This window comes from Homo sapiens, chromosome 11 (genome assembly GCF_000001405.40).
Source record: "Homo sapiens chromosome 11, GRCh38.p14 Primary Assembly".
NCBI classification, from domain to species: domain Eukaryota; kingdom Metazoa; phylum Chordata; class Mammalia; order Primates; family Hominidae; genus Homo; species Homo sapiens.
This window is the reverse complement of record NC_000011.10, coordinates 103,132,480-103,145,411: the sequence shown is the minus strand read 5'-3', so window position 1 is coordinate 103,145,411 and position 12,932 is coordinate 103,132,480. Positions and strand designations below refer to the sequence as shown.

The 12,932-nt window shown below is 38.2% G+C and overlaps 1 protein-coding gene across 6 annotated transcripts in view, besides 1 other annotated feature; it reads right to left on the bottom strand.

Moving 5' to 3' along the window:
• DYNC2H1 (dynein cytoplasmic 2 heavy chain 1) overlaps positions 1–12,932 on the bottom strand; it is a 370,438-nt gene that overhangs the window by 334,452 nt on the left and 23,054 nt on the right. For all 6 annotated transcript variants that reach the window (NM_001080463.2, NM_001377.3, XM_017018291.2 and 3 more), the window contains 5 exons: positions 11,705–11,857; positions 10,993–11,091; positions 9,778–9,917; positions 9,464–9,692; positions 2,017–2,144 (listed from right to left, as the gene is read on the bottom strand). In NM_001080463.2, coding sequence (NP_001073932.1) covers positions 2,017–2,144; positions 9,464–9,692; positions 9,778–9,917; positions 10,993–11,091; positions 11,705–11,857 — 749 coding nt within the window. The remainder of the gene's footprint in view (positions 1–2,016; positions 2,145–9,463; positions 9,693–9,777; positions 9,918–10,992; positions 11,092–11,704; positions 11,858–12,932) is intronic.
• Positions 3,311–3,812: an enhancer, noted in NCBI's record as "H3K4me1 hESC enhancer chr11:103012329-103012830 (GRCh37/hg19 assembly coordinates)". NCBI's record gives its function as "activates a minimal SCP1, AML or CMV promoter by ChIP-STARR-seq in primed H9 embryonic stem cells {active_cell/tissue: H9 hESC(primed)}" and the evidence as "EXISTENCE:reporter gene assay evidence [ECO:0000049][PMID:30033119]".

Sequence of the window (12,932 nt, the reverse complement as noted above, 5' to 3'; positions counted from 1 at the left end):
AGAGAAGAAAAACCCCATGTGCAAGCACTACAAAAGCACTATCTTTTCCTTACTTTAAACTAATATTAATGGTCCTACCAGTATCCAAATCACCCACGCTCAAACCCTCAAGTCATTTGTCTCTTCCTATTCCTAATCCCTCATCTTCCTCCAATAAATAAAACTTAATTCCTCATACTATTTCCTCCTCCTCATTTTGAGTTCCAACAAGATAATTCAATTAATTATTATGGCCGGGCATGGTGGTTCATGCCTGTAATCCCAGCACTCTGGGAGGCCAAGGTGGGCAGATCACCTGAGGTCAAGAGTTGGAGACCAGCCTGGCCAACATAATAAACCCCACCTCTACTAAAAATACAAAAAATTAGCCAGGCGTGGTGGCACGTGCCTGTAGTCCCAGCTACTCAGGAGGCTGAGGCAGGGGAATCACTTAAACCCAAGAGGTGGAGGTTGCAGTGAGCATATATCATGCCACTACACTCCAGCCTGGGTGACACAGCAAGACTCTGTCTCAAAAAAAAAAAATAACTAATTATCATTATTATTACTGGTCTTCTGGATGACTGACAGACTAGCCAGTATGCCTCCAGGATCTCTTTATCCCACCGTATATCTGTGTTTCCAGATTAAATTTCCTAACGAACAGCTTTGGTACTGACACACTCCTGTTTAGAACCCTTTAAAAGCTAATCATCCCAAAATGAATAAAATCCAAATTCTCTATTTTTGAATGTAAGACTCCCAGATCTATACCTTATCTACACCTTTCCAGGATCATCTCCCTCTAGTCTCTAATAAAACATTAACTCTAATAACAATTTCAATTAACCAACTTCATATTTTCAGCACACAATTCCTGTTGCTAAGAGGTTCTTTTTTGCCCTCCCATTTTCATTTGCACCTGTCAAAATCCTAGTTCCAGTGTTACTATCCTAACAAAGATTTTCCTTGATTTTGCCCCAGACAGAGGGGATGTCATCATCCTCTGAATCCCCATAGTTTTAGTTCAGTTTTAATATGGAATATAGACTATTCCACTTGATACTAATCACAATTAAAAGTAACTAACATTTATTGAAAATATAACCTGTGCCAGTTACTTATATGGAAACACTTACTTATCTCAAAACACTATGAGATTACTAACTATTGTTGCTAATATTTTAAAGCTAAAGAAATTTAGGTTCACAATTTCAATGACTGTCAGTCATACAGCTGGTAACAGCTGCCTAACTCCAGAGCCCACTTACTTAACCCCTGTGTGTACTTGACTTAATCATCAAATATATTTGTCTTATTGCACTACCAGAGAATAAGCAATTCATCTTAGGTCCTCTGTCTTCTTCCTCTTTGTACTCCTAAAGCACAAAGTTTTGCATTTTATAAATGTGCACTAAGTATTTATTGAAATAATGAAAACATAAATTAATAAAAGTGATATTATCCTTTAGAGGTGACATATGCATGATTACACAAGGCCTTTCATGGAACTTATTACTAAGAGTGGTTCTAGTGGTGAGTATTTTAGATACAAGGAGACTATATTCTCAAGTAGCTGAGTTGCCCCTCAGAGGCTTTTGTCCACATTTAGGGCAATATCTAGATGCAGCACTATGTTGTGTGCCTTCCAGGACATCTTGAAAGGAAGCAGAGCAGTACAAAAGCAGAGTGAAATGTCACTAGCTTTATATTGTCTAGTATGCTCTCACCAGTAGCTTCTAACCATACTGAGATTGTGCCAATGCATATCAAACATAGCTCTTCATACCAGATGAAGATAGAAGCCTCTTTCTTCAGTCTATTTTACCTAAATAGGTCTCCGCCAGCAGAGCTTCTAGAAGGAAAACTTGTTTTATTATCTGTAATGCCCTACCTAGATGATACTCAAGTGTCATAAATGAGATCTGGAGGAGGCAAGAAGCTGATGTGACTTCAATGCCACTAAGTAGAGAGCTCCCTTACTGTCCATGTCAAAAAATTATTATGGTACGTAAGTACTACATTAACCTCCAATACCTTGGAAGTCGTTCTACTTCTTTCCCCTTTATTTTTAATGCTTTAAAATTTTTCTCCCAATCATGTACAGTAAAAAGATGCTTTTCCACCAGAGCTTCCATATCAACTTGCCCAATTACAATCCATTCCTATTTAAAGAAAGAAAAAATGTATTATTAAAGACACAGAACCAATATGTTAACATATAATAGAATAGGATTCAACTATTAAAACCAATAAAAAGAGGAAAATATGAGGTATTCAAGTGTCAATTTAAGTAATATAATCATTACTGCACAGCCTAAAGAATAAACAGAAAAAAGAGATTTAATATGCAAATGCAGTGATCATAAACTTTTAAAGAAAATTATATAAACCCTCTGTTTAGATTCTCTTCTCAAATTAAATAATACAAAACTTCAAAGGTGGAATCATTTCTGCAAAATCAAGAGTCACTATAGGCTACAAATCTGAAAGGGTCCAGATTCATCCTAGAAATCTAAGACACAGAAGTATTGCAGTGGCAGTTAAGAAACTGGTCAAATTTTCAGTCATATGTCTCAGCATCAATACAAATGAGAAATACAATTAGTTTATACTTAAAGTTAGTTGGGATGATATACTTAAACGGAAATAAGCTGTTAAATAGCCCTGATTTCAGTAACATTTGAGGGCTTCAGAAGAAGAATTCAAATTGACACAACAGAACCATATCACATTCTAAACTGACACATTTTCTTTTTTTCTTGACATGGAGTCTCGCTCTGCCACCCAGCCTGGAGTACAGTGGTGCGATCTAAGCTCACTGAAACCTCCATCTCCCTGGTTTAAATGATTCTCCTACTTCAGCCTCCATGGTAATTGGGATTACAGGTGACCACCACCATGCCCAGATAATTTTTGTATTTTAATAAAGATGATGTTTCGCCATGTTGACGAGGCTGGTCTCAAACTCCTGACCTCAAATGATCCATTAGCCTCAGCCTCCCAAAGTGCCAGGATTACAGGCATGAGCCACCACGCCCAACCCACCAAGATGACACAACTATTTTAAAAAATAAAAAGCGAAGATGGCCAAATAGGAACAGCTCCCATCTACAGTTCCCAGCGTGGGCGACGCAGAAGACAGGTGATTTCTGCATTTCCATCTGAGGTACCAGGTACATCTCACTAGGGAGTGCCAGACAGTGGGCACAGGACAGTGGGTGCAGCGCATCGTGCGTGAGCCGAAGCAGGGCGAGGCATTGCCTCACTCGCGAAGTGCAAGGAGTCAGGGAGTTCCCTTTCCTAGTCAAAGAAAGGGGTGACAGACGGCACCTGGAAAATCGGGTCAATCCCACCCTAATACTACACTTTTCCAATGGGCCTCAAAAATGGCACACCAGGAGATTATATCCTGCACATGGCTGGGAGGGTCCTATGCCCATGGAGTCTCGCTGACTGCTAGCACAGCAGTCTGAGATCAAACTGCAAGGTGGCAGCGAGGCTGTGGGAGGGGCACCCGCCATTGCCCAGGCTTGCTTAGGTAAACAAAGCAGGTGGGAAGCTCGAACTGGGTGGAGCCCACCACAGCTCAAGGAGGCCTGCCTGCCTCTGTAGGCTCCACCTCTGGGGGCAGGGCACAGACAACAAAAAGACAGCAGTAACCTCTGCAGAATTAAATGTCACTGACAGCTTTGAAGAGAGCAATAGTTCTCCCAGCATGCAGCTGGAGATCTGAGAACGGGCAGACTGCCTCCTCAAGTGGGTCCCTGACCCCTGACCCCTGACCCCTGAGCAGCCTAACTGGGAGGCACCCCCCAGTAGGGGCAGACTGACACCTCAGACGGCCGGGTACTCCTCTGAGACAAAACTTCCAGAGGAAGGATCAGACAGCAGCATTCGTGGTTCACGAAAATCTGCTGTTCTGTAGCCACCGCTGCTGATACCCAGGCAAACAGGGTCTGGAGTGGACCTCTAACAAACTCCAACAGACCTACAGTTGAGGGTCCTGTCTGGTAGAAGGAAAACTAACAAACAGAAAGGACATCCACACCAAAAACCCATCTGTACATCACCATCATTGAAGACCAAAAGTAGATAAAACCACATGGGGAAAAAAACAGAGCAGAAAAACTGGAAACTCTAAAAAGCAGAGTGCCACTCCTCCTCCAAAGGAATGCAGTTCCTCACCAGTAACGGAACAAAGCTGGACGGAGAATGACTTTGACGAGTTGAGAGAAGAAGGCTTCAGACGATCAAATTACTCTGAGCTACAGGAGGATATTCAAACCAAAGGCAAAGAAGTTAAAAACTTTGAAAAAAATTTAGATGAATGTATAACTAGAATAACCAGTACAGAGAAGTGCTTAAAGGAGCTGATGGAGCTGAAAGCCAAGACTCGAGAACTACGTGAAGAATGCAGAAGCCTCAGGAGCCGATGCGATCAACTGGAAGAAAGGGTACCAGCAATGGAAGATGAAATGAATGAAATGAACCGAGAAGGGAAGTTTAGAGAAAAAAAGAATAAAAAGAAATGAGCAAAGCCCCCAAGAAACATGGGACTATGTGAAAAGACCAAATCTACGTCTGATGGGTGTACCTGAAAGTGACGGGGAGAATGGAACCAAGTTGGAAAACATTCTGCAGGATATTATCCAGGAGAACTTCCCCAATCTAGCAAGGCAGGCCAACATTCAGATTCAGGAAATACAGAGAATGTCACAAAGATACTCCTCGAGAAGAGCAACTCCAAGACACATAATTGTCAGATTCACCAAAGTTGAAATGAAGGAAAAAAGGGCAGCCAGAGAGAAAGGTCAGGTTACCCACAAAGGGAAGCCCATCAGACTAACAGGGGATCTCTCAGCAGAAACTCTACAAGCCAGAAGAGAGTGGGGGCCAATATTCAACATTCTAAAGAAAAGAAGTTTCAACCCAGAATTTCATATCCAGCCAAACTAAGCTTCATAAGTGAAGGAGAAATAAAATACTTTACAGACAAGCAAATGCTGAGAGATTTTGTCACCACCAGGCCTGCCCTAAAAGAGTTCCTGAAGGAAGCACTCAACATGGAAAGGAACAACTGGTACCAGCCGCTGCAAAATCATGCCAAAATGTAAAGACCATCGAGCCTAGGAAGAAACTGCATCAACTAACGAGCAAAATAACCAGCTAACATCACAATGACAGGATCAAATTCACACATAACAATATTAACTTTAAATGTGAATATTAAAGACACAATTAAAAGACACAGACTGGCAAATTGGATAAAGAGTCAAGACCCATCAGTGTGCTGTATTCAGGAAACCCATCTCACGTGCAGAGACAACATAGGCTCAAAATAAAAGGATGGAGGAAGATCTACCAAGCAAATGGAAAACAAAAAAAGGCAGGGGTTGCAATCCTAGTCTCTGATAAAACAGACTTTAAACCAACAAAGATCAAAAGAGACAAAGAAGGCCATTACATGATGGTAAATGGATCAATTCAACAAGAAGAGCTAACCATCCTAAATATATATGCACTCAATACAGGAGCACCCAGATTCATAAAGCAAGTCCTGAGTGACCTACAAAGAGACTTAGACTCCCACACAATAATAATGGAAGACTTTAACACCCCACTGTCAACATTAGACAGATCAACGAGACAGAAAGTTAACAAGGATACCCAGGAATTGAACTCAGCTCTGCACCAAGTGGACCTAATAGACATCTACAGAACTCTCCACCCCAGATCAACAGAATATACATTTTTTTCAACACCACACCACACCTATTCCAAAATTGACCACATAGTTGGAAGTAAAGCTCTCCTCAGCAAATGTAAAAGAACAGAAATTATAACAAACTGTCTCTCAGACCACAGTGCAATCAAACTAGAACTCAGGATTAAGAAACTCACTCAAAACCGCTCAACTACATGGAAACTGAACAACCTGCTCCTGAATGACTACTGGGGTACATAACGAAATGAAGGCAGAAATAAAGATGTTCTTTGAAACCAACGAGAACAAAGACACAACATACCAGAATCTCTGGGACACATTCAAAGCAGTGTGTACAGGGAAATTTATAGCACTAAATGCCCACAAGAGAAAGCAGGAAAGATCCAAAATTGACACCCTAACATCACAATTAAAAGAACTAGAAAAGCAAGAGCAAACACATTCAAAAGCTAGCAGAAGGCAAGAAATAACTAAAATCTGAGCAGAACTGAAGGAAATAGAGACACAAAAAACCATTCAAAAAATTAATGAATCCAGGAACTGGTTTTTTGAAAGGATCAACAAAATTGATAGACCGCTAGCAAGACTAATAAAGAAAAAAAGAGAGAAGAATCAAATAGATGCAATAAAAAATGATAAAGGGGATATCACCACCGATCCCACAGAAATACAAACTACCATCAGAGAATACTACAAACACCTCTACGCAAATAAACTAGAAAATCTAGAAGAAATGGATAAATTCCTCGACACATACACCCTCCCAAGACTAAACCAGGAAGAAGTTGAATCTCTGAATAGACCAATAACAGGCTCTGAAATTGTGGCAATAATCAATAGCTTACCAACCAAAAAGAGTCCAGGACCAGATGGAGTCACAGCCGAATTCTACCAGAGGTACAAGGAGGAACTGGTACCATTCCTTCTGAAACTATTCCAATCAATAGAAAAAGAGGGAATCCTCCCTAACTCATTTTATGAGGCCAGTGTCATCCTGACACCAAAGCCGGGCAGAGACACAACCAAAAAAGAGAATTTCAGACCAATATCCTTGATGAACATCGATGTAAAAATCCTCAATAAAATACTGGCAAACCAAATCCAGGAGCACATCAAAAAGCTTATCCACCATGATCAAGTGGGCTTCATCCCTGGGATGCAAGGCTAGTTCAATATACACAAATCAATAAATGTAATCCAGCATATAAACAGAACCAAAGACAAAAACCACATGATTATCTCAATAGATACAGAAAAGGCCTTTGACAAAATTCAACAATGCTTCATGCTAAAAACTCTTGATGAGATGTATCTCAAAATAATAAGAGCTATCTATGACAAACCCACAGCCAATATCATACTGAATGGGCAAAAACTGGAAGCATTCCCTTTGAAAACTGGCACAAGACAGGGATGCCCTCTCTCACCACTCCTATTCAACATAGTGTTGGAAGTTCTGGCCAGGGCAATTAGGCAGGAGAAGTAAATAAAGGGTATTCAATTAGGGAAAGAGGAAGTCAAATTGTCCCTGTTTGCAGATGACATGATTGGATATCTAGAAAACCCCATTGTCTCAGCCCAAAATCTCCTTAAGCTGATAAGCAACTTCAGCAAAGTCTCAGGATACAAAATCAATGTACAAAAATCACAAGCATTCTTATACACCAATAACAGACAAACAGAGAGCCAAATCATGAGTGAACTCCCATTCACAACTGCTTCAAAGAGAATAAAATACCTAGGAATCCAACTTACAAGGGACGTGAAGGACCTCTTCAAGGAGAACTACAAACCACTGCTCAATGAAATAAAAGAGGATACAAAGAAATGGAAGAACATTCCATGCTCATGGGTAGGAAGAATCAACATCATGAAAATGGCCATACTGCCCAAGGTAATTTATAGATTCAATGCCATCCCCATCAAGCTACCAGTGACTTTCTTCACAGAATTGGAAAAAACTACTTTAAAGTTCATATGGAACCAAAAAAGAGCCCACATTGCCAAGTCAATCCTAAGCCAAAAGAACAAAGCTGGAGGCATCACGCTACCTGACTTCAAACTATACTACAAGGCTACAGTAACCAAAACAACATGGTACTGGTACCAAAACAGAGATATAGATCAATGGAACAGAACAGAGCCCTCAGAAATAAGGCCACTTATCTACAACTATCTGATCTTTGACAAACCTGAGAAAAACAAGCAATGGGGAAAGGATTCCCTATTTAATAAATGGTGCTGGGAAAACTGGCTAACCATATGTAGAAAGCTGAAACTGGATCCCTTCCTTACACCTTATACAAAAATTAATTCAAGATGGATTAAAGACTTAAACGTTAGAGCTAAAACCATAAAAACCCTAGAAGAAAACCTAGGCATTACCATTCAGGACATAGGCATGGGCAACGACTTCATGTCTAAAACACCAAAAGCAATGGCAACAAAAGCCAAAATTGACAAATGGGATCTAATTCAACTAAAGAGCTTCTGCACAGCAAAAGAAACTACCATCAGAGTGAACAGGCAACCTACAAAATGGGAGAAAATTTTTGCAACCTACTCATCTGACAAAGGGCTAATATCCAGAATCTACAATGAACTCAAACAAATTTACAAGAAAAAAACAAACAACCCCATCAAAAAGTGGGCAAAGGACATGAACAGACACTTCTCAAAAGAAGACATTTATGCAGCCAAAAAACACATGAAAAAATGCTCACCATCACCGGCCATCAGAGAAATGCAAATCAAAACCACAATGAGATACCATCTCACACCAGTTAGAATGGCAATCATTAAAAAGTCAGGAAACAACAGGTGCTGGAGAGGATGTGGAGAAATAGGAACACTTTCACACTGTTGGTGGGACTGTAAACTAGTTCAACCACTGTGGAAGTCAGTGTGGCTATTCCTCAGGGATCTAGAACTAGAAATACCATTTGACCCAGCCATCCCATTACTGGGTATATACCCAAAGGACTATAAATCATGCTGCTATAAAGACACATGCACACGTATGTTTATTGTGGCACTATTCACAATAGCAAAGACTTGGAACCAATCCAAATGTCCAACAATGATAGACTTGATTAAGAAAATGTGGCACATATACACCATGGAATACTATGCAGCCATAAAAAATGATGAGTTCATGTCTTTTGTAGGGACATGGATGAAATTGGAAATCATTATTCTCAGTAAACTATCGCAAGAACAAAAAACCAAACACCGCATGTTCTCACTCATAGGTGGGAATTGAACAATGAGAGCACATGGACACAGGAAAAGGAACATCACACTCTGGGGACTGTTGTCGGGTGGCGGGAGGGGGGAGGGATAGTATTAGGAGATATACCTAATGGTAAATGACGAGTTAATGGGTGCAGCACACCAGCATGGCACATGTATACATATGTAACCTGCACATTGTGCACATGTACCCTAAAAATTAAAGTATAATAATAATAAAATAAATAAAATAAAAAATAAAAAATAAAAATAAAAAACCAAAAAAAACAAGTTTCTCAATTGTCACAAAATAATCAAAGACAAAAAAAAAATCTTTCCCATAACTTTTTTCTCTTCTGAAGTATAAATCTAGGTTGTATAAGTATCTACGAATCCAGCTCTCTGCTTTGCCATATTTTAATGTTATGCCACACAAGGTAAACTATTAATGTATACATTTAATGTAAATTCAATCAATCAGAAATAATTTTATGATGGAAGGATGGAACATTACATGTTCTATACCTTATGTTGGTGTAAAACAGCTGACAATCTTCTAAACAGATCTTCTGCTTTGCTGAAAATCGTCAAAAATCCACTTGCATTTCTATCAATCATAATAGAAAAAATAGATTCATCTCCTGCCTCACCCACTCCCTTAAACTGATTTGGAATGCCGATGAATCTCTTCATTTCTCTATAATATTTAGCCCGGATTTCTTCAAAAGGGGGCCTGAATTGTAATCGTCCCTGTCTAAAAGTAAATAAATAACTTTAAAACATAAATTGTTAGAAAATTATACAATGAACATTAAATTGGGGTTGAAAAAACATCTTACTTGTAAGTTAAGTCTATATTTATTTCTGGCAAATTCTCATTAAGTGCTTCTAAGCCCATCTGGTACTGATGCTCCAGAGCTTTGTACAGTTGATGATTCCAGTGTTGTTTCCATGCATGCATGTCACTTGCTTGGAATCCCTAATATGTTACATTCACATTTTTAATTTAAAAATTAGGCAGTAGAATGGATTTTTCATTTAATACTTTCATGTCACATAATGCACAATTATAATCACAAAAATAAAACCAACTCATTTCAAATATGTAAAACTGGTACATCCTTGTTACTCTCCGTATAAGTTTATTTAGAGACAAATATGAAAATCTAATCTTCATACTTATAAATACTATTTTAAAAGATCAGCAAAATTTAAAAACCAAGCAAATATTAAATGACTTTCATATTTGGACTTTATTTTATGATGTAGTACCACAAATACTGGTTTATTTTGTGAACTTCTTGGTCCTTTTTCAAAAATTCCCATCAAGTATAGCTCTTCTCTTCCCTTCCCACTTCTTACATAATGTAAATCTACTACGTATTTTAAAACATATGAGATTTAAAATATTAGATTGCTCATAAGAATTTACATACTTTTTTGCTTCTATACAACCATAAATATATCCATTCTAGTAGTACTTTTGCCTTTTCTTGAAGTTATAAAAACTGAAAAATATTAAATATATGTAAATGTGTGAGACATCTAACTCATATTCTGCTAAGATTTCATTACCATCTACTATGTAGCAGGCTTTGTGCTAGCCACCTTTATATGCATCAACTATTATATCAAAATATGAATAGAACTCAAATTTTACCTCCAAAAAGGAAAAAAATCTGGAATAAAATTATTCCAATCATTAGGATTCTACCTAAACTTAACTTTGTTTTTTACGGCTATCACGATCACCTAGAAGAGAACTAATAAGTGATAGATATTTAAATACCAAGACAAAAACCTACAAATTCTGAATTGAGGAATTTGGCATTCCATAAGACACTACAGGAACTTATTTTTATATTTTTAAATGTAAATTGATTGTTCATATGTGGTCTTTATATATAATTCAGTCAAAAATTATAAATATATTAGGTATTTATTAGTAAGATTTAAAGATAACTTTTATGAACTTCTCGGCAATTCATATATTGTACTTACATTCTGAAAAGGTCATATTTCAAAGTATACACACAAAATAAAACATACTCTACCTGTGCTTCTACAGTTGCTAAGCCAGTTCTCAATTCTTGTAATCCATCTTTCCAGCGCTGTTGCTGCCGAAGCAGATCAATATTCATAAGAACAACCACCTATGAAAAATTAGAGCATGCTAGTCTCAAAGTATTGCTGGAAAAATAGTAACTTTTCAGTGGAGAAACCTGACAGATACCACCTTAACCAAGTGATCAAGTTTAACTTAATCTATACAAGACATATCAATACTTGACCAATGTACTGAGAAGGGCAAAACATCACTTCTGTGCTATTCCTGCCAAAATAAGATAGCCCCAATCTAATATGGGAAAACATCATATAAACCCAAATCAAGAGAGATTCTACAAAATAACTGATCAGTACTCATCAAAGTCATGAAAAACAAGGAAAAGACTGAGGAGGGGAGGCTAAAGAGACTCAACAACTAAGGGCAGAGTTGGATTCTAGATTGTATCCTGGAAAAAAAAAAGAATGTTAGTGGAAAATTGTAAAATTCAAAACAGTCTTTTTCCTGGTTTTGATAACTACTCCGGTTATATAAGTTGTTAACAACAGGGAATTTGGGCAAATGGGAATTGTGATTTCTCTGTACTATTTTTGTAACTTTAAGTCTCAAATTATTTCAAAATAAGTTTTTAAAAATTGTATCTTAATGACTTTTTAAATAATATCATTCATAGCTTATTCAATTTTATAAACAAAATATACCTTTTCACAAAATGTAGTGTGCCATTTTCTCAGTTTTCTATTTTCAGTGGCAAGCCGTTCAGCAGCATTTTGGAGTTTTTGGATATAGCCTTCTAATTCTTTAGGATTATCCCAAGTTATCTGTGATTTCCCTCCACTTCCTGCTTTTGAATTCTATGGTACAATAAATAACCTTTAGTATGTATAAGTATTTCTTTTTTCCAAAAGTTTCAATATTCTATATCAAAAGTTCAACTATCCCCAACTCTGACCTGCAACAAAGAAAGCACATAATAATTTTCCATTTTATAAATGATAAGGCAGTCTGGCAAAGATTGAGTAGCCCATTTCTTCCAGCTTCTCCCTTTTACAACTAAAAAGCCCTAGACATAACACAACAAACAAGCATAAGGTGACGGAAAGGAAGAATGAAGAAGGCAGACAGCCTAGAAACCTGAGGAATTAAGGCACGACAAACCTGGGTTTCCTTATTATCTCCTATACATCCAGGACAGGGCGCTAGAGAAGATTCCAATCTGGAACCACTGACAGGCACAGACTCAAAAACCTCCTATAAAGGGCTAGGAAAACAGCAGCCTAACAAGAGAAAACATTTTTAGCAATACACATCCTATTGTAGCTTAACACCAAGGAGAAAATCACCCCTTTCTAATGTTTCAGTGGGACTAAGTAAAAAGCTGATCTTCCATCACCTACTTGGCAAAAGCATGCAGTGTTCCAATCCCCCTGACAAGGTAATATTCATGAGGCTCAACAAGGAGCTGAGCTCCCACCCCACTCACAGTGGTGTGAATCTGCCCTCCACTCCTCTACTCCTCCTCCCTAACAGGGAGGAGTCAACAGGGCCCAGTAGGAAGCTGAGCTTACACCCCAGCTTGGAGGCAACAAGGTGCCTCCAAGTTGGTGCCTCACTTTCACAACAAGGTATCAGTAAAGTAAAATGGAGCACTAAACTTCCATTCCAGTCATCTGCAATGAATCAGTGTACAAATGCTCCACTTTGGTACTGTAGGGCCCAGCAGGAAACTCATCACACACACACACACACACACACACACCCCCAACCCTCTCAGCAAAGAGACTGTTTTCTAAAATATAAAAATTAAATATTATACAGTGCATCATAATATAATATCCAAAATGACCAGAATATAAGGGAAAATCACCTGTGATACCAAGAGCTAAAAAAAATCACAACTTGAATGAGAAAAGGTAACAGATGTGAACA